General features: G+C 48.6%; 1 protein-coding gene and 1 long non-coding RNA gene across 3 annotated transcripts, besides 4 other annotated features; both read right to left on the bottom strand.

The window, feature by feature from the left end:
* Positions 1–4,712: 4,712 nt before the first annotated feature.
* On the bottom strand, positions 4,713–12,234 carry LOC124901795 (uncharacterized). Of its 2 annotated transcripts, none has more exons than XR_007060626.1 (2): positions 12,018–12,234; positions 4,713–9,867 (listed from the first exon to the last, which is right to left on the bottom strand). It is a non-coding gene; the product is annotated as an uncharacterized LOC124901795 (long non-coding RNA). The 2 variants fall into 2 exon arrangements; XR_007060625.1 differs by having other exon boundaries at positions 12,106–12,234.
* Positions 9,712–9,761: an enhancer, noted in NCBI's record as "active region_26936". NCBI's record gives its function as "activates an Ori minimal core promoter by ATAC-STARR-seq in GM12878 lymphoblastoid cells {active_cell/tissue: GM12878}" and the evidence as "EXISTENCE:reporter gene assay evidence [ECO:0000049][PMID:35858748]".
* Positions 9,772–9,891: an enhancer, noted in NCBI's record as "active region_26935". NCBI's record gives its function as "activates an Ori minimal core promoter by ATAC-STARR-seq in GM12878 lymphoblastoid cells {active_cell/tissue: GM12878}" and the evidence as "EXISTENCE:reporter gene assay evidence [ECO:0000049][PMID:35858748]".
* Positions 9,772–10,573: a biological region, named in NCBI's record as "H3K4me1 hESC enhancer GRCh37_chr7:158768653-158769393".
* Positions 9,833–10,573: an enhancer, noted in NCBI's record as "H3K4me1 hESC enhancer chr7:158768653-158769393 (GRCh37/hg19 assembly coordinates)". NCBI's record gives its function as "activates a minimal SCP1, AML or CMV promoter by ChIP-STARR-seq in naive and primed H9 embryonic stem cells {active_cell/tissue: H9 hESC(naive and primed)}" and the evidence as "EXISTENCE:reporter gene assay evidence [ECO:0000049][PMID:30033119]".
* LOC124901794 (uncharacterized) lies at positions 26,143–26,917 on the bottom strand. Its single transcript, XM_047421165.1, has one exon. It carries the CDS (start codon positions 26,829–26,831, stop codon positions 26,277–26,279), a length of 555 nt encoding a protein of 184 aa, XP_047277121.1. The 5' UTR covers positions 26,832–26,917; the 3' UTR covers positions 26,143–26,276.

The raw sequence follows: 27,176 nt of genomic DNA, 5'->3' as shown, positions 1-27,176 counted from the left end.
AGCAGTTGACCAGCATACAGGAAGATAAGATGTTGAGTATGACCCTGAACTCTGAACTACCTGTTTTGTATCTCTTGGAGAAAATGTGAGTGCACACAGCATGCAATTCTAGCAGAGGCTCCCCAAAGCCTGCAGAGCTTTTCTAATTGCATGTTCATTATGAACACATAATTAAACTGGTAACATTAATTTTCAATTAGAGGAGCACATTAAAGTTTTGGTGTTTGGGCATTCATGTGGACATAATCCCTGAGTAATTAAAACACAGCCTTCCTTTCAGAGGACACAGTGCAATCTGTGACCTGCCTTGATGAAAAAAATGGGAAAGGAAAGTCCTGAGAGTGACACTGGCTTACAGGAGAACCAACACATTTTTGTGTCTGCAAGAGATGTGTTCTGGCTTGTAGACCTTGGGAGCAGCTCCCAGTGGGGTCGCCACCCCTCACAGACTCCTGAACAAACTCATCCTCTACTTGGTACTGACCACAGTAGTTTTTGAGGCCCAAGGCAAATCACACCTTTTTTTTTGCCAATATCATCCTTTCTATTACATCAAGTTAAAATTGCCCTCAAGAGCTAACTTGCAGAGGAAAATGTCAGCAAAGATCACCAGTTGCAGTCTGAAGCTGATGTGGACAGGGAACTGCTGTTGGCCACCCTTGATGAATGAGCCCCGGGCTATCCCAGTGGGAGGAACAAAGATGTCCACCGTTGCCAAAGGTGTCATGTGCGTTTCAGTGCCACCCAGTGGAGTTAGCACCTTCTTCCTGGGAAGATCTGACCCTGCAGCTGGCTGGCCCCCAAGCTAAGGGCTGGAATCACAATCTGCTCTGAAGAGGGCATGGACCATTCATATGGCCTGGGAGCAGCACAAGCACTGAGTGAGGAGCCCAGCTTTCCCTGGAGACTAAAACCCATTCCCAAGTGTCAGCTACGAGCTCACTCCCTGTGCCTCATCCGTCCTCTCTCGACCTATTCTGGGAGAGCTGCAGACAAGGTTCAGGAATGAGGCCATGCAGCCAAGGTGGACGAGACAGAGGAAAAGAGGGAGACAAAAGGTGCTTGGACCCACACCATGTCCACTCCTTTGTTTTTTGCCGCTTCACACTTTGGGTTCTGGAAAGATTCACCACCCAGAGTCTTTCTCCCCATGTTATCCGAAGTAAAAATTTACTGAGCAGCTCTTATGTGCCAGGCTCTGCATCAGGCACTTAGGGTATATCTGTGAACAAGCAAAACACAAAAAGGACCTTCATCCTGAAGGGCCCACGTTGACCTCCAAGCATGCCCACCCCACAGACTCATCGATATGATTTGGCTGTATCCCCACCCCAACCTCATCTTGAATTGTAGCTCCCATAATTCCCATGTGTTGTGGGAGGGACCCAGTGGGAGATAACAGAATCATGGGGGCAGTTCCCCCCATACTGTTCTTGTGGTAGTGAATAAGTCTCATGAGATCTGATGGGTTTATAAGGGGAAACCCCTTTCACTTGGTTCCCTCATTTTCTCTCTTGTCTGCTGCCATGTAAGACCTGCCTTTCACCTTCCACCGTGATTGTGAGGCCTCCTCAGACACGTGGAATTGTGAGTCCATTAAACCTTTTTTTCTTTATAAGTTACCCAGTCTCGGGTATGGCTTTATCAGCAGCATGAAAACAGACTCATACAATAAATTGGTACCAGTACAGTGGGGTGCTGCTGTAAAGATACCCAAAAATGTGGAAGCGACTTTGGAACTGGGTAACAGGCAGAGGTTGGAACAGTTTGGAGAGCTCAGAAGAAGACAGGAAAATGTGAGACAGTTTGGAACTTCCTAGAGACTTGTTGAATGGCTTTGACCAACATGCTGATAATGATATGGACAATAAAATCCAGACTGAGGTAGTCTCAGACGGAAATGAGGAATTTGTTGGCAACTGGAGCGAAGGCCACTCTTGTAATGTTTCAGCAAAGAGACTGCCAGCATTTTGCCCCTGCCCTAGAAATTTGTGGAACTTTGAATTTGAGAGAGATTATTTAGGATATCTGGTGGAAGAAATTTCTAAGTGGCAAAGCATTCAAGAGGTAACTTAGGCGCTGTTAAAGGCATTCAGTTTTATAAGGGAAGCAGAGCAGAAGAGTTCAGAAAATGTGCAGCCTGACAATGCAATAGAAAGGAAAGTCCCATTTTCTGAGGAGAAATTCAAGCCAGCTGCAGAAATTTGCATAAGTAACAAGGAGCTGAATGTTAATTGCCAAGACAATGGGGAAAATGTCTCCGGGACATGTCAGAGGCCTTCATGGCATCCCCTCCCATCACAGGCCCAGAGGCCTGGGAGGAAAAAATGGTTTCATGGGCGAGGCCCAGGATCCCTGTGCTGTGTGCAGTCTAGGGACTTGGTGCCCTGTGTCCCAGCCACTCCAGCCATGACTAAAAGGGGCCAAGGTACAGCTCAGGTCATGGCTTCAGAGGATGCAAACCCCAAGCCCTAGCAGCTTCCATGTGGTGTTGAGCCTGCAGGTGCAGAGAAGTCAATAATTGAGGTTTGGGAACCTCCACCTAGATGTTAGAGGATGTATGGAAATGCCTGGATGTTCAGGCAGAAGTTTGCTGCAGGGTCAGGGCCCTCATGGGGAACCCCTGCTAGGGCAGTGCAGAAGGGAATTGTGGGGTGGGCACCCCCACACACACAGAGTCACCACTGAGGTGCTACCTAGTGGAGCTGTGAGAAAGTCACCATCCTCCAGACCCCAGGATGGTAGATCCACCAACAACTTGCTCTGTGCACCTGGTAAAGCTGCAGACACTCAACACCAGCCTGTGAAAGCTCAGGAGGGAGACTGTACCTTGCTAAGCCACAGAGGCAGAGCTGCCCAAGACCATGGGAACCCACCTCTTGCATCAGTGTGAGCTGGATGTGAGACACGGAGTCAAAGATCACTTTGAAGCTTTAAGATTTGACTGCCCCGCTGGATTTTGGACTTACGTGGGGCCTGTAACTCCTTTGTTTTGGCCAATTTCTCCCATTTGGAATGGATATATTTACCCAATGCCTGTACCCCCATTGTATCTAGAAAGCAGCTAACTTGCCTTTGATTTTATAGGCTCATAGGCAGAAGGGACTTGCTTGTCTCAAATGAGACTTTGGACTGTGGACTTTTGAGTTAATGCTGAATTAAGACTTTGGGGACTGTTGGGAAGGTACGAGTGGTTTTAAAATGTGAAGACATGAGACTTGGGAGGAGCCAGGGGTGGAATTATATGGTTCAGCTGTGTCTCCACCAAAATCTCAGCTTGAATTGTAGCTCCCATAATTATTCCCATGTGTTGTGGGAGGGACCCAGTGGGAGATAACAGAATCACAGGGGTGGTTTCCCCCATATTGTTCTCGTGGTAGTGAATAAGTCTCACAAGATCTGATAGTTTTATAAAGGGAAACCCCTTTCACTTGGTTCCCTCATTTTTTCTCGTCTGCTGCCATGTAAGATGTGCCTTTCATCTTCCACCATGATTGTGAGGCCTCCCCAGCCACATGGAACTGTGAGTCCATTAAACCTCTTTTTCTTTATAACAAGAAAAAATATCAAAATACCCAGTCTCAGGTATGTCTTTATTGGCAGCATGAAAACAGAATAATACACTCGTGCTGGAGTTCATCTCTTTCCTCAGTGTGGGACACTTAGATCCTGTCTAATTTTTCACTAGTGTAAGCAGGGCTGCTGTTGATATCCTGGTGTGGAACTTTGGTATCAGAAGCTAGCCTCCATTTCTGGCAGCTGGAGAGCCAGTGAGATGGCTTCAGGCTGGCCTGGCCCCAGAGGGGTGGGCATGGCTCAGAGTTCATCACAAATGTGGCTTCCGTGTCCTTGCTGGAAAAATCAGCACATCAGACCAAAGCTCAAAACTCGCTTCTAAAACAATATTCTGTGGTCAGGACTCCGCAACAGCATTTTAAATTTATTCACAAAATCTGGAGTAGATGGTTTTGGAAAGCGTTTTGGTGAATGGTCTGTATTCAGCCTTAGATCTACCAAATATTTCAAAGACGTTCCTTGCAGAAACCCATGAGCTAGCCACTCGAGCAGGAGTGTTTACTCCCAGGCTCACTCAAACAGAAGACCTTCCCACTCGAGCAGGAGTGTTTACTCCCAGGATCACTCGAACAGAAGACCTTCCCACTCGAGCAGGAGTGTTTACTCCCAGGCTCACTCGAACAGAAGACTTTCCCACTCGAGCAGGAGTGTTCACTCCCAGGCTCACTCGAACAGAAGACTTTCCCACTCGAGCAGGAGTGTTTACTCCCAGGCTCACTCGAACAGAAGACTTTCCCACTCGAGCAGGAGTGTTTACTCCCAGGCTCACTCGAACAGAAGACTTTCCCACTCGAGCAGGAGTGTTTACTCCCAGGCTCACTCGAACAGAAGACTTTCCCACTCGAGCAGGAGTGTTTACTCCCAGGCTCACTCGAACAGAAGACTTTCCCACTCGAGCAGGAGTGTTTACTCCCAGGCTCACTCGAACAGAAGACTTTCCCACTCGAGCAGGAGTGTTTACTCCCAGGCTCACTCGAACAGAAGACTTTCCCACACAAGCCCTGGAGCCAGTCTCTTGGTCACCCTTTGGGTCTAGGGGAAGTGAGAGGTGGTCCTGTTCCTGGAAGAGGGGGTCTCTACCCCAAGAGAGGCTTCTCAGATCTCACACAAGAGGGAATTCAAGGCCAGTCACAGAGCACAGTGAAAGAGGCACGTTTATTAGAAATGACTCTGTTACAGAGCAGAAAGCAAGCAGAGGACACACCAACTTCTTTTTCCATTTTTCTTACACAGAAGTCTTGTCTGCAAAGCGAAGTGAAGCTGTGCATATGTGCAGCTGAGCAGAGAGCATGACAAGGTTTATCATTCTATTGGTTTAAAGAAAACCATCCTTGACATTTTAGTGTGTCAGTCATCATAGCATGACTCTTACTATCTTGAAAGCATAGACCTAATTATGGGTATTGGACGTCTGGACTTTCTGTTCTTGGAGTTTGCTTTGCAGGCATCACCAAGCTGCTTCCTTAGCTGTAAACATCTTAGGACCATGGCTTGTGTGTGGCAAGGAGTGTGCCTTGCTAGTTTAAGACGGTGCTGATTTTAAAATGGTGTCACCCTGGCTCCTCTGGACTCCTGCCTCGCTAACAGTCCAGTGACTGTCCATGGGGCTGCTAATCAAGTCCACAGCAGGAAGCAGCCTCTTCCCTGAGCCTCCCAACCCCCCAGACGACTTCTCCCCTGGACCTTCAGGTCCTAGGATCCAAACACCAGAGACGCACAGAGGCCTAGAGCTCCATGCTGTGCTGTGGCCTGCTTGGTCTGACCAGCCAGGCCCATAAATACTGATGGATAATCACAAGGGTAGGAGGGGAGTGGACAGGGAGACAGGTGTCACTCAGTCTACAGATTGCCCAAAAGGAGCATCAACGCCAAACCCGAAGTATTTACCTGAACCCAGAGTCCCAGAGTCTCCTCCCCTGTGACTTCTCCTGAGACTTGGGGGTGGTCCGGCCCCCTCCATCTCCAGCGAACACTCTGAAAATTTGCATCTGCCCACAGCACTGCCCTACGTGAATGTGTTTGGGGGCTCCCTTCCTTCACAGGACCATCCGGACACTGTGGCCTTGCCTGCGGCCCCTCCCCACCCGGCGCACCTCCCCCACATCCCCGCAGACCTTCCACTGTCAATGTCTGCCACTCCTTTCTGTCAATGTCTGCCACTCCTTTGCCTGGGGGTCTCCCACACTGCCCACCCCTCATCCTGGAGACCGCCAGGGGGCCCCTAGGAAGCACGTCTTGGACCCTGAGGTGATGTCACAACCTCTGTGGTGCCCCTGCACCCTGGACCATCTTCTCCGCCAGCTCCCATCACCCTTGCTGCGTCTGCCTCTGTCCATCGCTTTCTGTGATTACAAGTCCTTGGTGAGAAGTGCCACTGTGTGTGTGGAGATGTGGGTACAGAAAAATACCAAAACATCTGGGTGGGGTACAAGGAACAGGGTCAGGGGAGAAGCCTCACTCAGAGGTGAGAAGGGTGAGGCCCAGGGTCTCACCATCCCAAAGGGGTCCAGGGTTGGGCTCCAGGGTGCAGCCTGGACACCGCTTACATGTGCAGGTGTTGGCACCTGAGGTTCCACGCAGGAATTCAGGTTTGCCTGGAATAACCCCCGGCTGCCTTGTGGGAAATTAGATTAATTAAGAGAGGCCATGTGACCTGCTGCCAGTCGGCCCAAGGTGAGCTTCCAGGCCGTCTGCAGGTAGCCCTGCTCAGTGCTCCCCACGTGTTGTCCACAGTGCCTGCTGCCGGCAGGTCACCAATATGTCATTGCTGAGTGAGCAATTTGAGCACGGCACTGTCAGGTGCAGTGGGGCCTGCATCTGTCAGATCTGCAGGCTGGGGTGCGGCCAGGGTGGGGAGCTGTGGCCGCCCGCCCCAGCCTGACCTCCGCTCCACACACAGGAGGGTTTGGCCTTCCCTGCAGGCTTCCTCCTGAGCTCTGCTTTTTTTCTGCTTTGGAGTCTTCACGCTCAAGTTCGTGCTTTCCCTTACAACCAGGAGGACTCCGGAGGCCGGGCCGCAGCAAAACTTGCCTGTGGGTTTTATGAGAATTTACATAATCATCCCTGGTGTCACCCCCAGGGCGACTGCACTGATGATACAGGCTGTCTCCCTGGCTTGGCATCTAGCAGCACTTAAAGAGAGCCACGAAGTTTACAGCAGGGACTGAGCAGGCGGAGTTCTGGACTGAATCATCGTTTCCAGTTAGGAAGGGACTCGGGAGGGACCGGTCAGCAAGGCCTCAGCCTTGGCTTCTGTTTTTCTTTTGATGAAAGAAGGCAAGGCCGAGCCTCACAGAGACAGGGTGAACCTTGAACCACTCAGGGTGGCCAAAAAAAGTCTTCATGGAATCCTCCAGTGTATAAATGATCCTTTCAAAGCCTTCCCAAGGCAAGTGAGGCTGGACGGGGTTTTCTGCACCACAGTCCAAGCCTCCTCCTCCCCTGCTGCCTGGCTCTGACGGTGGCTACAAGAAGCTGCAAAGGCACCAATGGTTTGAAAGAGATTTAAAAGTAAAAAATCAGACAAACTGAGTGATTAGTTCCCAGAAGTAAGCACCTGGACGGAGAGAGGGAGCGGGAGGTAAGAGCTCCAGGGAGGCAGGAGGCCGCTGGTGGCAGCGCTCTGGGTCTCTGAGAATCTCAGGGAAACATTGGCGCTGACCCTTGTTGTGCGGAAGGCGAAGCTGCACCCCCAGGTGCATATTCCACTCTTATTCCTAGGAAGGTGGAAACCCCATCTGTGGTGGTTTAGGGCGACCGGTGCCTCGGAGTCTGATTTTCCCTTGGGTTTCAGGGCAGGGCGAGGTTCCCAGCTCCATCTGCAGCTGTAGCTTTCCTAGCCAGCCCGTCCCGAGAGCACGTCCAAGTGTCCATCCCGCCGTGGGTTCTGCCTAATTCTTGAGTAAACGGCTGCCATTTTGATGAACATCATTTGTCCTTATTGCTGTGGGGGTTTCCTGGCTTTTAGCAAATATTTACTCAATTTATCAACTGCACAATACAACATCGCCATTTATGACACTATTATTCTGCTCTCACCAGGGGTCTGGCCTTTGAAATGTAACCTCCGTGTATCCAGGGATTTCTCACTGAGCTTTAACATTTTACCCCCAGATAGTACTTGGCCCTGGAAACACGAAAGGCGGAGATTTGACTGTTATAAGGAGGAAAATAAATCTTTTTTTCAATTTAAAAGATGAATTCAAGTTAACAGACCTAGAAACGTTGGCTGAGCCTCCAAATGGAGACATGTGTACCCGCAGTCCCAGGCCATAAATAATCACGGCATCTGGCTAGCGAGCACCCAGTGCTATAAAGAATTATTGGACCATAAAAATAAGCCTTCAGTAATGTATAAAGAACCCCCACAACTCAACAACAAAAAAACAAACAGCTCGATTCAAAAATGGTCAAAGGACTTGAATAGACAATTTCTTCAGAGAAGACATACAAATGGCCAATAAACCCATGAAAAGATGCTCACTATCACAGGTCATTAGGGAAATTCAAATCAAAACCACAATGAGGTGCCACCTCACAGCCATTAGGGTAACAAGTATCAAAAATAGAAGACAGCAAGTGCTCGGGATGTGGAGAAACTGGAGGATGTGGGGACACCGGGACCCTTTACATTGCTTGAGGGGATGTAAAACAGGGCAGCCGCTGGGGAAGACAGTGTGGCGGCTCCTCAAAACCTTAAAAATAGAACTGCCATATGACCCAGCAATTTCACTTTTGGGTATTTCTCAAAAAGAACTGAGAGCAGGGACTTGGGCAGATGCCTGTGCACCCGTGTTTAGGGCAGCCTTATTCACACCCACTAAACATGGTCCAACCCAAGCGTCCGATAACGGATGAACGCATAAACAAAATGTGGTCTATCCATACGGTAAAGCATTATTCAGCCTTTAAAAAAGGAAGGGGATTCTGGCACCTGCCACAATGCGGATAAACCCTGAGGACATTATGCTCGGTGAAGTAAGCCAGACACAAAAGGCCCACGATGGTATGGCTGTGCTCAGAGACTGACGGTCATCAGATTCACAGAGACAGAAGGTAGAAGGGGGTGGGGGATGGGGAGCACTTGCTTAAAGGGACAGAATTTGTTGGGGAAAATGAAGGGGTTCTAGGGTGGACGATGGTGATGGCCACACATCATAGTGAATGCACTTAATGCCACACAACTGTGTACTTAAAAATAGTTAAAACCACTCATTTCACGTTAAAGAGCCTTCGGTGACAGTCTCAGGTGAGCTGATGTCATGAGCGGGAGACAGTGAGGGTGTGGACGTGTGGTTCATGGTGCAGCAGGGTCAGCCTTGGGGACCCAGAAAGCTGCACCGAATGTCGCCTCGGAAAAACGAAACAAAGTCAGGGCTCGCCCTCCCTTAAGTCTCCTCTTTCTGTTCGGACTTCACCTCCACCCTGCCTGTGTTCCTAACTTTGAAAGCTGTGGTGGGCGTGGGGAGTGGAGGAGCTGGGTGCCCCCCCGACCACCTGCCAGCCCCAGCTGGGAGCAGAGGCCTGAGGACGCGCACTGAGGGGCCAGGCGTGACCTTCTGCCTGTCATTTTTTCCTCTCTTCCTTTTTTTTTTTTTCGCTTTTCTTCAAGATTTTATCTTTTTGGAGCAGCTTTAAGTTCACATCAAATTACAAGAAAGGTACAGAGAGCTCCCACATACCTGACCCCCCAGAGCCTCTGCATTTCCAACAACGCCCAGCAGAGGGCGAATTTGCTACAGTTGATGAACCCACAGTAACGTCATTATCACCCAGAGCCACAGTTTTCATTAGGGCTCCGTCTCAGTGCTGTACGTGACGTTCTCATGGGATCTCTGGGGTGCCGATTTTTCCGGCCGGAAACCTCTGTGGCTGCAGCGCCTTTGCCAGAGCTCTTGTCCTGCGTCTAGGAAGAATGAGGTACGCAGACAAGTGAAGCGTGAAGAAGAAAAGTTGTATTTAGTGTCAGAACAGCTCAGAGGAGTGGGTGGCTCCTCTCGTAGGCAGGTCGTCTCTCGAGTGTTCAGCTTTCAGCAGAGAGGAGGCCCCAGAGAGGGAAGCTGCTCTCTGCAGGCAGGTCATTCAGATGTCTCTGCAGGTCTCTGAAGCTCTCAGCAGAGAGGGTAGCTCCTCTCTGTGGACAGGTTGTCTTGCCTTCTGCTGTTCTCAGTGGAGAGGGTACTCCTCTCTGCAGCTGGTCATCCCATCCGGTCGTCTCTCTGCCCTCTGTCCTCTTCATCCTGTGACCCTTCTCTGCCCTGCTCTGGCTGAGCCCAGAGCTTGTATGGACCTCTGAGGGGAGGAAGTGCATGCCGATTGGTCCATAAGTGGTCATGGGTGGGCCCAGAAGAGGCATCAAGAGTCCCCACTCCTGTCTGCAGCACTGGCAGCCCAGCCCCCAGCCTTCAGGCCCTCGCTGGCCTGAAGGTAGGGCCTTCCTGGGGACCTGCCCCTTCTACCCAGAAATCAATCTGCCTCCCACGGCCCTTCATGGCCCCTGGGCTTGGCCCCAGCCCCAGCTCTGAGATCGGAGCAGGCGCTAGGAGTGGAGAGAGGCCAGGCAGCAGAAGACACCCCCGAGCCTGCAGGGATGTGGTAGGGGGGGTCCTTCCTGGGGCCCCTGAGGGTGTAGGCTGCAGAAACACCCAGGTCCTGTACCCGGGAGGGCGGCCACAGCTGCACCTGGGAGCTCCCACCAACTCGGAAGGGGCAGGGCTCCTACTTGTCCCTAGCTCCTGCCCGCTTTTTGGAATAGGAGGCCCAGGTTTGCAGCCGTGGGTGCCGCAGCTGCAGCTGTACCCGGGAAGGCAGATCTTGCCTGTTCCCAGCTCCCTCAAGTGCACAGGGAGGCTCATATCCACAGCTGCAGTTTGGGCAGCTTCGTAGAGCAGGAGGCCTGGGTCTGCAGCTGTGGTTTGGGCAGGTGCAGCAGCACGGGGAGCACGGACAGCTCCCTTCCGAACTCAGAAGGGGCGGGGCACCCACTGGCTCCATGGAGTGTGAGGCCCCAGCCACGCTTCCCTGCTGCAGGCGGATGATGGCAGCAGCCACTGCTGTCAATGTAGGTTTGGCTACATGTGTAATGACACACATCCTCCATTATAGTATCATAGAGTTGTTCCACCGTCCCAAAAATATCCTGTGCTCCACCCATGCACCTCCCCTCCGTGCTCCACCCACGCACCTCCCCTCCGTGCTCCACCCACGCACCTCCCCTCCGTGCTCCACCCACGCACCTCCCCTCCGTGCTCCACCCACGCACCTCCCCTCCGTGCTCCACCCACGCACCTCCCCTCTTTGCCCCTCCTGTCTTCCTTCCCAGCTATGTAAACCCCTGACTTTAGCCGGGAAGGCGGGACGGATTTGAGTTTTGACTCCTGTCTCTCCAGCTGACACCGCCTGTAATAGAATAAAGCCTTCTTCCCCGGCAACTCTCTTTGTCTCAGAGACTGGGGGCTTTTTGTGCAGTGGGCAGCATGACCTGGACAGAACCCCTGGTGTTCGGGAACAACTTGTTGGAATTGTTGTTGGTATTGCATTAAATCTATGGATGAATTTGTGAGAAATTGACCTCTGATGATAGTGAGTCTTCCTGACCATGAATATGGAATATCTCTCCTTTCATTTAGTCCTTCTTTGACTTATTTCATCAGAGTTTTGTAGTTTTCCTCATATAGCTCTTGTACATACTTTGTTAGATTTATACCTCAGTATTTCATTTTCAGTAAATGGTATTATGTTTTTATTTTCAAATTCCACTCGCTCATTTGTAGTACATAGGAAAGCGACTGACTTTTACATATTAGCCTTGTTTCCTGCGACCTTGCTATAATTGCTTATTAGTTCCAGATCTGCCTTTCTTTCAGAGTCTATGTCTATCATGGCTCTGGGGTGTATTCTTAGCCCAACTTTACAACAAGCATCCTCAGTTTCTGCCTTGGTTCTTCTGACTATGGATGAGTATCATAAGAAATGAGATATTCACAGCTGGGCAGCCTCTTCTGTTTTAAAAATGTCCAACAGAGCTAAGAAGTCTACTAAGTTAACATGATTCCAAACAAAAGGCCAAAGAGGTCCTCATCCCACCCCCCAGGAAACTTAAAAATAAATTCACGGGAGGCTGAGGCAGGAGAATCGCTTGAACCCGGGAGGTGGAGGTTGCAGTGAGCCAAGATCGCACCACTGCACTCCAGCCTGGGCGACAGAGCAAGATTCCATCAAAAAAATTAAAGAAAGAGAAACCTGGGTGCCGCAGAGCCCCGAGGCCGGGCGGCCTTGCCTGCCTGGAACCCCCTTGGCGGCCCCGCGGGCTCCTCCCCACCCGCCTGGCCTCCCCCATCTCTGCGTTCGGGGCCTCCCCGGCTGCCCCAAGGCGCGTCCGTCCCCAGCAGGCAGCGCGTTTGCCTTCCCGTCCCTCCCACCACCCCCCCATTCCTGGCTACCTCGCCCCCCTCAAGTTGGGGCCGCCTTGGGGTCTTCGTTACTCCCGGGACGTCTCAGGCCGTTTCAGCCTCCGTTTATGGATGTTACCTTGCTCTGGAATGTTCTCCCCAGGGAACGCCCTCTCGCAGGGCCTCGGCGGCACACCCTCTGGAACCTTCCAGAATCCTCCGGAAGAGTCAGCAGAGCTGACTGCGCGGAGCGAGTGGCTGAAAGGAGGGCGGGGAGGCGGCCGCTCTCTATCTAAGAAGTGGCGGGTCTGGAGGGTGCGCGAGGGCAGGGCCGGGTGCCCAGGCCCCACCCACGGGCCCTGCGCGCCTGGACATTCTGTCAATGCCGGGAACGCGGAGGGCGGGCGCTGGCATCGGCCCTGGGAGGACAGGCGCTCCCGGAGCTCCAGACGCCAGGCCAGACCGCCGGGGACAGCGCGGGGTGCAAGGATGGGGGGCACAGAGAGGCGGGTGGGGGGCCTGGGCGAGGGTGGGGGGCGCGGAGAGGCCGGTGGGGGGCCTGGGCGAGGGTGGGGGGCGCGGAGAGGCGGGTGGGGGCCTGGGCGAGGGTGGGGGGCGCGGAGAGGCGGGGGGGGGGCCTGGGCGAGGGTGGGGGGCACGGATAGGCCGGTGGGGGGCCTGGGCGAGGGACCGCGCCTGCCCTGAGACTGAGCCGGGCCTGAGCGAGGGTTCCGCCGGGCGCCTGCAGTCGGGCAGCCTCGTGGCGCCCCAGCCACGGCCTCTGCACAGCACACATCTCCATCTGAGATGCAGAAACGCTAACCGGGTCCCTGCCACACGTCAAACGTCGGCGCGGGAAGCCACGGGCCTCCTCAGGCCGGAAAGGAACAGCCCGCCCCCTACTGTGCAGAGCGAGGCTCCGCGGCCTGAGGAAGGGAGACCTGCCTGGGCGCTGAGCTCACAGGCTTCTAGGCACCTTCGGAGGCCGCTGAAGAGCGGGGGTGGCGCGAGCTGGCGGTCACCGGGAAGCCCCGGTTACCATGGCAAGGCGATGGGTGCGCGGTTACCCGGCGTGCAGCCTCGCGAGGACACCTGGGCCACGGACGCGCCGCGCCCTCGGGGAGCCGGCTCCGGAGGCCTCTCTCTTCCTCCTCCTCCTACCCCTAATGACCATGGATTACTTTTGAAATGGAAAAACGGTAAACCTTTTCTAACATAAGTCACACTTATAAAGAAAGCATCTGCTAAAGAGGACGTGTTATGTCATGAAATGGGGGGCTCTCATCACGGCGGGGGTCAGGGAAGGTCCGCTAGGGCTTTAGCAGAAGAGATTAACCTGCTGACTACCAGGCGCCTTCCAATACTAATATTCTGAGATTTTAATATATTTTATATTACCATAAAGATCTTGAGTGCTTTAGAAATAATACTAGGTAGCTGAGCACAGTGGCTCACCCCTGTAATCCCACGGCTTTGGGAGGCCGAGGTGGGAGGCCCGAGGCCAGGAGGTTGAGACCAGCCTGGACAACATAACATCCCATCTCTACAGAAACCCACCATTTCATTAAAACATTAGCGGGGCATGGTGGCAGTGTTCGTGGTCTGGGAGGCTAAGCTGGGAGGATCACTTGAGCCCAGGAGTTTGTGGCTGCAGTGCACCATGGTCTCACCACTGCACTCAAGCCTGGGCAACAGAGCAAAACTCAATCCTACTGCGTAAAGTAGAAATACCATTTCTGGGCCGGGCGTGGTGGCTCACGCCTGTAATCCCAGCACTTTGGGAGGCCGAGGCGGCCGGATCACGAGGTCAGGAGATCGAGACCTTCCTGGTTAACAAGGTGAAACCCCGTCTCTACTAAAAAAACCACAAAAAATTAGCTGGGCGTGGTGGCAGGTGCCTGTAGTCCCAGCTACTCCGGAGGCTGAGGCAGGAGAATGGTGTGAACCCCGGGGGGTGGCACTTGCAGTGAGCCGAGATTGCACCACTGCACTCTGGCCTGGGCGAAAGAGCGAGACTCTGTCTCAAAAAAAAAAAAAAAAAAAAAAGGAAATACCATTTCTGGGTCATAAAAAAATATTTCAGACATCATTATTCCGGATATGTTAACTTTTTGCTAATGGGATATAAATGCCTCCAATTTGAAATTGCTCTTCCAGGAGTGAATTTTAATTTTCTCCCACTGTGAAAATGCGTATTTGTCTTATGGAGAGAGTTTTTATTTATTACCAACTAACAGTAAAAGCTTCTTCTCACAATTCTGACAAAGTAGAGCCAATGTAAGAGTTTTGGTGTCATTTTTAATGTAGAGGCTTCAATTATTGTTAGTCAAAGGGAACATATCTTGAAACATTAACAACAAAATCACTAACCTTTGATTTTCTCTTTTAGATTTGCACATTGTTGTCTTTGTTCTAGGCAAGGCATTCCTGTTTCAATTTTTCCTTTATTCCTTTTCTTTTTTCCTGCACTGTTTTCAGAATATGTTCTCTGACATTTTAGGCCATCTAAGTCAAGAAACCAGTATATGAATTACTTTGACTGGAGAGAAGGGATGTTTGATCCCAAATTCCTGAATTGGGCTCCTCTGAAATATCAGTAGGAACTACAAGCAAAAAATTGATGGGGCGTGGTCCTGTGGTTTGGGGAATTTTTATTTACTTCAGTATACATGTCATATGTTCATATAAGTTATATATTATTTATTACTGTATTACTCCACTTTCTTTTGGAGAGTCACACTCCACGTTAACCTACTAAAGTCTCTGAAAAGTTCTGCAATATATGAAATTCTCTATTTTTAGCACAGTATTTCCAAAACTGTATTTTATTGAGTTTCAGAAGCTATTGATTGAAAGACGTGTACTTTTGAAAGAACAATAATCACTGCTAATAAAACTATGGCATGCCATGGAATTATAAGACACATCACAACTTTAAAAGCATTAAGATGTTCAAATGAGCATCTTAGAATCCATTGAAATTTGTTAATTTATCTTAAGTATGTTACCCATCACTGCAAAACACATGATACCAAAAGGAAGGGGCATAAAACAGCCACTTTATTTGCTCACAAGGCTGTGGGTCGGCAGTTTGGGTTGGGCTCAGCCATGTGGTTCATATGCTTTCTAGCTGGGACATTCTCACAGCTTCAGATGTACCCAGCTGGGGATGGCTGGTCAGGGATGGTCTGGTGAGTGAGACTTGCAGGTGCTGGCAGGGGAACCACAGCTCTCCAGGCCTCTGCAGCAGAGGAGATCATATCTGCTTGCATCATGGTCTCAGGTCCCCACACACAGCAAAAGGAAGACAGCCTCAATGTGCTGGCCTTTTTCCAGCCTCTGCTTTTCTTGGGTTAAATTTGCTAACATCACATTAACTAAGGCAAATTGCATGGACACATCAGATTCAAGAGGTGAAGAAATAAACTTGATGGGAAGAGTGGCAGAGTTGCACTGCATAGGGGCAAGCTGACAGATGGGAGAGGATTATTGCTGTCATCTTTCCACACACAAACTTTTAAAAAAGAATTTCCTAAGACATCTCTTAACATTTCATACATTATAGTTTAGAAAAATCTCCTGGATAACAATTGAATCTTCAGTACTGAGAAACAGATGAGACAGGTATGTATTTAGAGATGCTGTTGACACCTGAGACAACTGGACAAAGAGATGTCAGGGCCTTCCATTTTGCCTGCTCACAAGCTCACAGTCCACTTGTCACTGTTCCACAGAGACTGGCAGAAGACACAAGACTCCTGGATCAGAGACAAAGGACTTCATTATGACCCACGGCACAGCTAGCAGCATGAGCACTGTGTTGACCAGTTTCCTAGGCCCCCTAGTCCATAGGCATGGCATGAAGGGCCCACAGGGATGCTGTACACACATAGGTCAGCATTGCAGCTGAGGGGCAGTGGGCTTGGGGAATCTACTGCCCTTACAGGGAGCAGTAAGTGGGCCTGTTCTTTATCCAGAGAGAGATATTATCCCTATCCTCAGGGTTGTTCCCTGCAAACGCTACCCCCAAAAAATGGCCCAAGTAAAGATTATCAGAGCCTTGACTCCTTGACACACCCACCAAAAACATGCAGACTCAGGATAAGGCAGAGCAAGGGGATTGTGTGTGAAAGCCCTCCCCATGTTGCAAGGCTAGTTAGGTGGAAACCAGGCCATCCAGCTCCCTGCCCTCTGGCGCCCAGGGCGTTGTCATGTGACTTGGGCTGTCAATTGAATGCTTCTGTGGGGACAGTTAGGAAATTGCTCAAAGGTAGGGGAGAGGTGGCAAGTTTCCACTTATACCACTGGTGTCCAGGATCCAGGGGCACTGGCAGTGGTCAGTGTCCAGAGGTAGTAAGAGACGTCTGTAAACGTGAAGTGAGTTGCAATGCACTAAGCAAGTTTTCCTGCCTCCCAGCCCCCTTGGCTCCCGCCTGTTTGCACCACTCTTGCTCTACAGCTCTCCCATGATGTTGCAGGCTACCCAGGTCCTCAGTATAAATTCATTTCTGTTTGAGTTAGGCTGATGATGCTTAAAATCAAGAAAAATCTGTCTTTAGTAGGAACTTGACATTCCGATACAATATTTTTGATGCCAGAAACATATTAAAACCTAAAAAAACAAGACATGAAGTTAAAAGAAGTTAAGTCTAGTCTCTATGATATCCTAAGCCCTATATACAGTATATAATTTGTAAATTCCTGAACAAACAGAAAAATGTGACTTATACATAAGAGAAAAATCAGTCAGTAGAAGGAGACCCACCAATGACCATGATGTTCTAATTAGTAGAAAAGAGCTTTGAAATAACAATGATAAATATGTTGAAGATTCTACAGGAAAAGATAGTTATAATGCTAAGAAATTTTAGAAGATATTTAGAAACTTTTCTTTAAAAAGGATATTCTAGAAATGAAAAATACAGTATCTGAAATAAAAAAAAATTATTGAATGAACTGGCCACAGTGTCTGCTTTTGTAAAAACCTCCAAAAAGTTATGCATTGAGTATTTCCATTTCAGATTCATCTGCTGCCCACCTCTCACCACAGATGAATGATCACTATGAATGGTGGTGACCAGGTGGGCAGGGGAGGGGCTTGTCTGAGTGCCTTAGCCCAGGCTTCTGGCCTGCCAACCTTGAAAACAGCAATATCAGCTGGGCGCAGTGGCTCACCACTGTAATCCCAACACTTTGGGATGCCAAGGCAGGCAGATCACTTGAAGCCAGGAGGTCGAGACCTGCCTGGCCAACTTAGTGAAACTCCGTCTCTACTAAAAATACAAAAATTAGTCTGGAGTGGTGGTGCACACCTGTAGTCCCAGCGATTTGGGAGGCTGAGGCACAAGAATAGCTTGAACCTGGGAGACAAAGGTAGCAGTGAACTGAGATCGCACCACTGCACATCAGTCTGGGCGATAGAGCAAGAGGGTTTAAAAAAAGAAAAGCAATATCACTTCCTTGTTAGATCCAGTTACCAAGCCAGTGAGAAGGGATGAACGGGAAGGAAGTCACATCCTTAATGTCCAGGGGGGACTGTTACTTCTGTTATTTCTTTTTTTATGTATTTATTTTTTTGAGACAGGGTTTTGCTATGTCTGGAGCACTGCACCCTGGCTGGAGTGCAGTGGTGCAATTACAGCTCACTGCAGCCTCAACCTCCCAGGCTCAGGCAGTCCTCCCACCCCAGCCCCGAGTAGCTGGGACCACAGACGTGCACCACCACACCTGGCTCATTTTCGATTTTTTTGTTGAGGGGGGTCTCACCGTGTTGCCCAGGCTGGTCCTGAACTCCTGGGCTCAAGTGAGGAGCTGTTACTTCTGGACAGTATGCCTTGGACAGTTTGCCCGGCCCCAGTGGGTGTGTTTCTCCTCTGTCGGTGTGGCTAATTTTCATCTGCCTTTATCCCTCAGTCATCCAAGTATAACCTCAGCAGTAACGGTACTGCGGCCAGAACAGTGTTCTCAGCTGGCGCCCCTCCCCTCTCCTCTTACGCACTTTCTGAACCTTTGAAGTTCAGGCACAACTGATCAGCATTCACGTTAAAACAGAGATCCTAAGACTGACAGAACAGACGCTCTGTAGCAATTAGATACCAAATTCCCAACCAACTCAAGTATAGCATCACATGACAGAGGGCAGGTACTGAAGGAAATCAAAGTATTTTACCCCAAAATATATTTCTTTTACATATTTTGCTTTTGTTGTTGTCGTTTTTGTTTTTGTTTGTTTGTTTGTTTGTTTTTGAGACAGAGTCTTGTTCTGTCTCCCAGGCTGGAGTGCACTGGTACAATCTCAGCTCACTGCAGCCTCTACCTCCTGGGTCCAAATGATTCTCAAGCCTCAGCTTCCCAAGTAGCTGGGATTACAGGTGCATGTCACCATATCCAACTAATTTTTGTATTTTTGGAGAGATGGGGTTTCACCATGTTGACCAGGCTGGTCTCCAACTCCTGACCTGAGGTGATCCACCCACCTTGGCCTCCTAAAGTGCTGGGATTACAGGCATGAGCCACCATGCCTAGCCCCTTTGACATATTTTGAAATGGCCCTGCAAAGCTGTCTCTGGTGGGGAAATTTTACATTCTGTACAGAATCCCTTTCCCTTTCAAGATCTTTTTCCAAACCTGAAATGATTGACTGAGAGTCTAGCACCTTTTAAGGTCTGAATAGGAGCCATTTGCCATCTGTTGCCTCCTGGGTGGCCACCTACGAGACATCTACATAATAAGAACCTGAGTCCTCACAACCCCTTATCTTGACCCAGACACTCCTTTCTATTGAATCCAGGTCCTTAGATAACTCTTTTGACCAACGGTCAATCAGAAAACCTTTGAATCCATCTATGACATGGAAGTCCCTTCCCTTGGAGTTGTCCTGCCTTTGCAGTCCAAACCAACATATGCCTCACATGTATTGATTGATGTCTCATGTCTCCCTAAAATGTATAAAACCGAGCTGTACCCTGAACACCTTGGGCACATGTTCTCAGGACCTCCTGAGGCTTTGTCATCAGTCATGACCTATAACCTTGGCAAAATAAGCTTCTAATTGGATTGAGACCTGTCTCAGATGCTCTTTGGTTTACAACAGATTTAAGAAGCTCAGAAAACCCCAAACAAGGACAAATCAACAAAAAATAAAACATCTAATTACATCATGGTCAAACCACTGAAAATTAAAAAAAAAAAAAAAAAGCAAAAGCTTACAATTAACCAGAAAAAAAGATGTATTTCGTGGAGGGAAACAATAATAATGACAAACAGGAAACCTGTTAGCAATGCCTGTTCCCCAGTGCCACAAAGAAATAGCACTTGAACATAAATTCTCTGAGCAAGGCAATTTTTACTTTCTGCAGAAAGGGTACTCTCGCCAGCAGTTTTGCCACAAGAGTACACCAAACAAAGGAAAAGCAGACATATGTATCCCTTACGCATTTGGGTCATCCTTACTACTGTGTCCTGCATCCATTGCCTGGAGCCAGACCTCACAGTCTAAAATGATACCTGATTTGCTAACAACCTAAAACTTTCTTAAATAGGTAAATGCAAGGAAGAACAAAGGAAAAGAGGAAGTTGCTTGCGAAAGATTTAAAGAAGCAATAACATTTCCAAATAAGGAAGAGGCATAGGCCGTGAGCTGGATGTCCAACAGCTACGTAGGATAGGACTCAACAAAGAGTAATTAGCACAAAGCAAGGAGGCTTGAAGGAAGTTAGTCTTTAAAAGAAACTATTACTTCTAACACTTATGATTTATTATTTAACAAGGGAAACTTTGAAGAGGAAACTTTTTACTTTCTACAAAACTTCTTACCAGAAACAATGGACACTGAAGACCACAGAAGACACCTCTACAGAGCTGAAAGGAAAAACGCCAATCTAGAATTTAACGTCCAAAGGAAATATCTCCCAAAAATGAAGGCAACATAAAGATAATTGTAGATATTAGTTTCCACCCTACCCTGTCCCCATATTAAATATAGTAAGGTCACTTACACATGCGAACCATTATACAAACTAGTAGAGTACATCCCCAGAAGAAGGGAAAGGCATCCACAGGAAGGAAAGGTGCGGGGTGAGCCCCAGTGCTCATGGGACCTCCAACTCCTTCACACCCCCATAGCACAGGTGAGCCCAAGGCAACGTGCCTGCCCTACCTACCCTGCCAGGTCACAATGTTCATCCCAGATAATATTAGTGAAAAACATCTTTTGGCAATGACCTTTTTATCTTAAAACTGCAAACAAATGTAATGATACTTCGGTTTTGAAAAAAATATCATCAGTCCACAGGAGATCTTACAAGACAGTCTAAAGCTCAGACTCTTACATTATATTGAAAATACATGGGGTGCGTCACCCCCACCAGTGTCCCCAGCTGACCATCTGCATCTTGGAGAACAATCTATTTTCAATAACAAATGCTCACAAAGTGTTTTGAGGAAATAAAAGCAAAAAATAAGATGGTGGGGGGCGGGGAGAAAGAAAACCTACGAGTGTTTTTGCAGCATTCCTGGTTGTTCTCACACAGCACTCTTATGAGTCCTGTATGAAAAATCCCAGAGGAATGAACAGCACCACAGCTCGGGTGCTGTGACCATTTTTATTCACAACTTAGGAGTTGTATATGTTCACAAGCCCCAAGACCAGTTATCCACACCAATCCCCTCAGGCACAGCTGCCAATCTCAAGTAAGATGAGCCACTATTGGAGGCACTGATATCACACTGTTACCCTCACTCACTTCCTCAGCTGAAGCCATCAGCCTGTATATTAGTCTGTTCTCACATTGCTATAAAGAAATACCTGAGACTGGGTATTGTATAAAGAAAAGAGATTTAATTGGCTTACACTTCCTCAGGCTGTATGGGAAGGATGGCTGGGGAGGCCTCAGGAAATTTTTGATCATGGCAGAGGGCAAAGAGGAAGGAGGCATGTCTTCCATGGCCAGAGCAGGAAGAAGAAGAGAGAAAAGGAGGTGCCACACACTTTCAAACACCAGGTCTCCTGAGAACTCACTCACTGATATGGTTTGGCTCTGTGTCCCCACCCAGCTCTCATTCCGAATTGTAATCCCCACATGTCAAGGACCTGGTGGGAGGTGACTGGATCATAGGGGCGGTTTCCCCCATGCTGTTTTCATGATAGTGAGGGAGTCCTCGTGAGAGCTGATGGTTTTATAAGTGTTTGACAGTTCCTCCTTCACACGCTGTCTCTCGCCTGCTGCCATGTAAGATGTGCCTACTTCCCCTTCTACCATGATTGTAAGTTTCCTGAGGCCTCCCCAGCCATGTGGAACTATGATTCAATTAAACCTCTTTCCTTTATAAACTCCCCAGTCTCAGGGAAGCTCCTTATAGCAGTGTGAGATGGAGTAATACACTCACTATCACAAGAACAGCAAAGGGGAAATCCACCCCATGATCCAATCACCACCCACCAGACCTCACTTCCAACACTGAGGATTACAGTTGGACATGAGATTTAGGCAGGGACAAAATCCAAACCATATCAGCCTGGTTAAAGTCAGGCCCTTCAGTGAACCAGGCTGCGTTTCAGATGGGTTCCCTGGGAGCTCCCAGCAGGACCCCCTTCAGGTGTCCCAGGGTGACCCAGGAGCTGGAGGAGCAGCCACAGCTCCTCTGCCCATGTAGCTTGGGCAGGTCCCCCACGTTCCCTGAGCCTTAATGTCCTTGTACACAAGATGATTATGAGAGGACCAGCTCTAAGCCCCAGGACACCAGATGCAGAGGCACCTAGGACAGCAGCAACAACATGCCGAGTACATGCCAAGCACACACCAAGGACATGCTGAGTACATACCAAGCACATGCCAAGTACATGTCAAGTACACACCAAGCACATGCCAAGTATACATCAAGCGCGTGCCAGGTGCATGCCGAGTACACACCAAGTACATGCCAGGCACACACCAAGTACATATCAAGCATACACCAAGTACATGCCAAGCACAAAGTCGTTTTTAGTTGTATTGACAGCCACCAGTGTGAGATACAGGCTTCTCTTGAGCCCTTGTACTACATTCCAGAGACTACACAAATGTACCAAAAAGTAAGTGGTAAATCCCAATTTTTACAAAGTAGTTCCTTTAGAAATCCTACACAGAAACTATCTAAAACTCAACCTTTCCTCTGAGGAAAAATAGCTACTGTTTAACCCAAAAGTAGGGTATGTTATTTTAATTTAGGAGAACATCTGGATTCCTTACAAACTATTAATTCTTACACTAAATAACTAAGACGTTTCCACAAGGTCAAGAGGTGATTAATTACAAACGGTCACCCTGGAAACACAGAACTTTCCTTCATTTCTGATTTTTCCCGAATAGCTCCTTGTTCTGACATCTGATGATGCTGTGTCCACAAGGTCTGTGCACACCAGCTGGCGCCTGTCAAGGCCATGGCCAGGCCACTGACCTCTGTTCATTAGTTTATTTACCAAGCATCCCCATGGGCCAGACCCTGTTCTAGGCAGGAAGAGCAGCAGAAGGTGAACCATAAACAAACCAAAATCCACCAGCAAGCGAGTCTTCAGCATGCAGAAGGCAACAGTGCCATGGAGGGCAGGCACCAGGCAGGTGGAAGAGGGGCCAGGTGGCCGGGGCAGGCCGCTGGGAGGAGGCGTTGGCTCTGTCCACGCCTGGAGAAGGCAATCAAAGATGCCTTCAAAGGACAATTTTATTTTAGACTTTTCTCCTATTTCTGGGTCAGTGTTTGTTGTTCTGTTGCTATGGAAACACTAAAACCCTGGATTCTTTTTTACTAATAAATGGATTTCTTAGCCACGACCATCAGCCAAAACATGCTAATGGATTTGGTCTTTGATTTTTTTCAAGTTAAACAACCATATTCATCCATAATTTAACCATGTACTTAACGGTTCTTCAGAACTGACATAGACCAAGGCGTGCGTTTACTTCATCCCTACCCTGAGCCAGGAACTGTGCGAAACATTTTGTGTAGATTACTTCATTTACCCGACATAGCAACTCTATGAAGGAGGTATGTTGTCCCAGTTCCTGAAGGAGCCCCAGGCACAGGGGCACAGAGACATTAACACCTCACCCAGGTAACACGGCCAGACTAGCGTAGCTGAGACTTGAACCCCCTTGTCTAGCTCCAGACCCTATGCTCTTAACCAGCATTCTGTCTAAATCCCCTTTAATGCCATCATTTTTAGAGCAATGGAGAGTTGGAGCAAGACAGGTATTCACAAATTCCTCAAGTGCCACCTTCCCTGTAGAATTCCAATAGAAATGAATGGATGTTATGTTTTCAGGAAGGGTAACAAGAAGAGAAGTTTATCTGTCCATAAACATCAGAAAGAAAGAAAAATGGTGGGGCTTGGGGTGGCTTGTAAAAAGCCCTGGGGCTGTATGACATGCCCCTCCACCCTGCAAGGAGGAAAACTTGTCAGATGCATCATAATGAACTTAAAACTCTGGACATTTCCAGCAGCCAGTCTTGAGTAAGACATGCACACGCACACATAAATGTCTGCATGTGCAAATCCACACAAAGGAAACGCTGTGAGAGTTCACACATGAGAAAGGTAGTTGAGTCCTGTCCTAGGAGGTCACCTCCCACCCACACTGTCTGGAAGGAAAATCTGCTAAAAGGGCCAGAATATGTAAGACAGTATCTTGTTCATAAAAACTAACAGAAATTTAGTGGTCAGCAAGTTTGAGCCCATTAAGAGTCCAACTCTGCCCCTAGGGGACAACAGGCTTCAGAAAAAAACAGGAAGAGTCACATGTGTATGCACACACATACACGGGCATACACACATGCAAACATGCATACATGCACACACATAATATACATGCATATATATGCATACACACATGCATACATGCACGTATATAATACACATACATGCACGTGTGCATACACACACAATACACATACATGCAGATGTACATATACACACAGGTGCATACATGCATGCACATAATACACCTACATGCACACAAGTGAATAAACGCACACACAACACGTGTGCACATATACACATACATGCACACATACATGCACATACACATTTACACATTCATACATGCATGTACATAATACACATATGTGCACATGTACATATATATGCACACATACACACATGCACATAATATACACGCACACATACACATACACACGCACACATGCACCAACTTCTCTCTTGATGCACAAGATATTTCTCAAAATAACCTTGGCCACTTAGCACCTAGGGACAGAATTATTGACAGAACATTGGGAATGAGGGTCTAGACTGGCCACAGGTCCCTCATGCTACTGTGACACCTTCAAATGAGTGACTGAGCAAAGTTTCTCAGAGGCCCCAGGAGTGAGCTGGTAGCACCATAGCACCACACACAGATGACTGGTGCTATGAGGGGGCCTAATTCTTCAGACATTCTGTGCATTTAGTGATGGCAAAGCACGTTGCTCGGCTTTTCCCTTGTTCAGTTAACAGGGTGCTGTTCCGGGCATTACTTGAGTCTTTTTTGGAACCCAAAGTGCTCATGACACGTGACAGCAATTGTGTTTGTCAGGGATCTTCAGAGAAACTGAACCGATAGGATGAATATAGAGATTTAGAGGGAGATTTTTATTTCATATGGGCTCACACAATGATGAAGTCCCATGATCTTCTGTCAGCAGGCTGGAGATACAGGCGAGCCAGTGGTGTCGTTCCAGTCCAAACCCAAAGGCCCAAGAACCCGGAACTCAGATGTTCAAGGGCAAGAGAAGAGGACGTCCCAGCTCAAGAGGTGAGAGCAGTCTCCCTTTCTCCACCTCCATGTCTTATTCCAGCCCTCAGCGGGTTGGATGACACCCATTCCCGTTCCGGAGTGTGAGATGCTATTCAGTCCAATTCAGATGCCCATCTCATCCGTATGCCCTCAGACACACCCCAGAGTCACGTGTGCCAGCTATCTGGGCACCTCTTAGCCCAGGCAAGCTGACACATAAAATTAACCATCACCACATTTTGCCATGTAAGGACCTGAAAGGCCTGATTTGGCCGGGCTCACTGCAAGGGCCTGGTTTAAGCAGGTGCTCAGCCTGTCTTGGCCTCATTCTCATCCCCATGAACTCCAGCCCATATCTCCCAGTCATTGGGGATCCTTTCCTGGAGGAGCTGCTTGGTTTGCAAGGACAACGCTGACTGGCCATTATCTCAAGGGCCATCAGCTATGCATGCACCTTACATGGGGGGTAAGCATTTTGTTTGGTTTTGTTTTTTAGCTGAAACTGTAAAAAAAAATTAACATGAACTGATGAGAATCACCCATACCATTTCATGAAACGCAATCATTGGTCATGACTAGGGAGAGCATCTGAGTTGGATACTGTTAAGGATACAATTTAGGCTTTGCCTGCGTGATTTGGAACAGAAATCTTGACTTAGAACTTACAGAAAAACATTTCAACCTGAGAAAGCTGATTACAAAATAAAAAGGTTAAGAAAACATGACACATTAAAAAAAAATCTAAAAAGTGAAAACTTCAGTCATCCAATTATTTGGCATTGGGCTGACAAAATAAAAGAACTTTTTAAGACACCACACACAAAAAATGAGTCCAGCTTCTCATTGAGAGTGAGCATGTTATTGACACAGACAGATTCAAAATCCTAAGAAGGATAATGAGGAAAATCGGTTTTTACAAATAATTATTAATAGACCCAATGCTCTTAGAGATTCCTCCTCCCTGAGCACCTTTTGAGCAAGAATCTTTCCTCGGAGCTTTGGGAATTCCCCTTCTAGCCCTGTGGGAACCCACAAATCATAGACCAGGGGCTCTGTAAATTCTGCAGGGGGAAAATCCATTTTGTGGATAATTTATTGCAAAAGAGTTGAAAAGGGGTGTTGGTTAACTAGAAAAGCTTATGCAGTAAATAGAGAAACCAACCATTCGACTCCATTGTGGCTACAAAAATGGTGGAAAATGACAGGTCTTTCAGTCCTCGCCACCTACTTCCCACACTTCAATAGTGTTAACCCTTAAGGACCATCATCATCAAGAGGCCTTAATAGAGAATCCACTGAAATGAAACCACAATCAATTCAATGCTAGCTACTTGGCCTATAAATTGAAAGCAAAGTAAATACAAATTACTCTGCCTGCTGTGATGGTGAATGAGGTTTTTAAACACAGCTACTTGTCAGATTTTGGCCCTTTATTTTTATTTTCCCCCTCCTTTATCTGAGTTTTACTTTTCTCCTAGGGCGCCTTTCCAAGGTGTTTGTAAATTGCCCCCAAACGTCAGGTCTGCAGTTGGCATCTCACCACTTATGCCTGCGCTTCACTGAGGTCCGCAGGGCTATGGAGGCTGAGCTGAAAGCACTTCCAAGTGATTCCCCAAGGAACGTCCTCACAGGAGCGTTCAGAGGGGCCCAGCCAGTGCTCTTGCTGCTGAAGGAGCATCCCAGGGAGGTGACGAGCCCAGGGCCCCTGGCACAGGGTGGCCCTGGAAGAAAGCACTGTGCTCCCAGCACTTGAACAGGACCCTTCTGCAAACACAGCGCTCGAACGGAACCCTTCTGCAAACACAGGGCTCGAACGGAACCCTTCTGCAAACACAGGGCTCGAACGGAACCCTTCTGCAAACACAGGGCTCCAACGGAACCCTTCTGCAAACACAGCGCTCCAACGGAACCCTTCTGCAAACACAGCGCTCGAATGGAACCCTTCTGCAAACACAGGGCTCGAACGGAACCCTTCTGCAAACACAGGGCTCGAACGGAACCCTTCTGCAAACACAGCGCTCGAACGGAACCCTTCTGCAAACACAGCGCTCGAACGGAACCCTTCTGCAAACAGCATTTGCATAAATTGCACCGTCATTTTTGTACTTATTTTACATCAGAGAGGTAGGCTGGGCTTTTTGAAAGAGGCACACTGGCTGATCTTGCTCCTGATCAGCTGAATCCCTTCTTTGTAAAGCAGGGAAGATAACAGCCACCTCTGAGGGCCAATGTCAAGACCCAGGCCTTCAAGGCTCCTAAGAGAACAAGGTGGCTGTGCCTTGGGAGGCTGAGGCCAGAGGATTGCTTGAGGCCAGAAGGTCTAGACCAGCCTGGACAGCATAGCAAGACCCTGTCTCTACAAAAAAAAAAAAAAAAAGTAAAAATTAGCAAACATGGTGGCTGGCATCTGTAGTCCCAGCTACTCTGGAGGCTGGGGCAGGAG

This window comes from Homo sapiens, chromosome 7 (genome assembly GCF_000001405.40).
Source record: "Homo sapiens chromosome 7, GRCh38.p14 Primary Assembly".
Lineage (NCBI taxonomy): Eukaryota > Metazoa > Chordata > Mammalia > Primates > Hominidae > Homo > Homo sapiens.
This window is presented reverse-complemented; position numbering and strand designations above follow the sequence as displayed.

Excerpts from the sequence above, each read along its gene's own strand:
- LOC124901794 (XM_047421165.1), bottom strand. The coding sequence starts at position 26,831 with ATGACGGTGCAATTTATGCAAATGCTGTTTGCAGAAGGGTTCCGTTCG.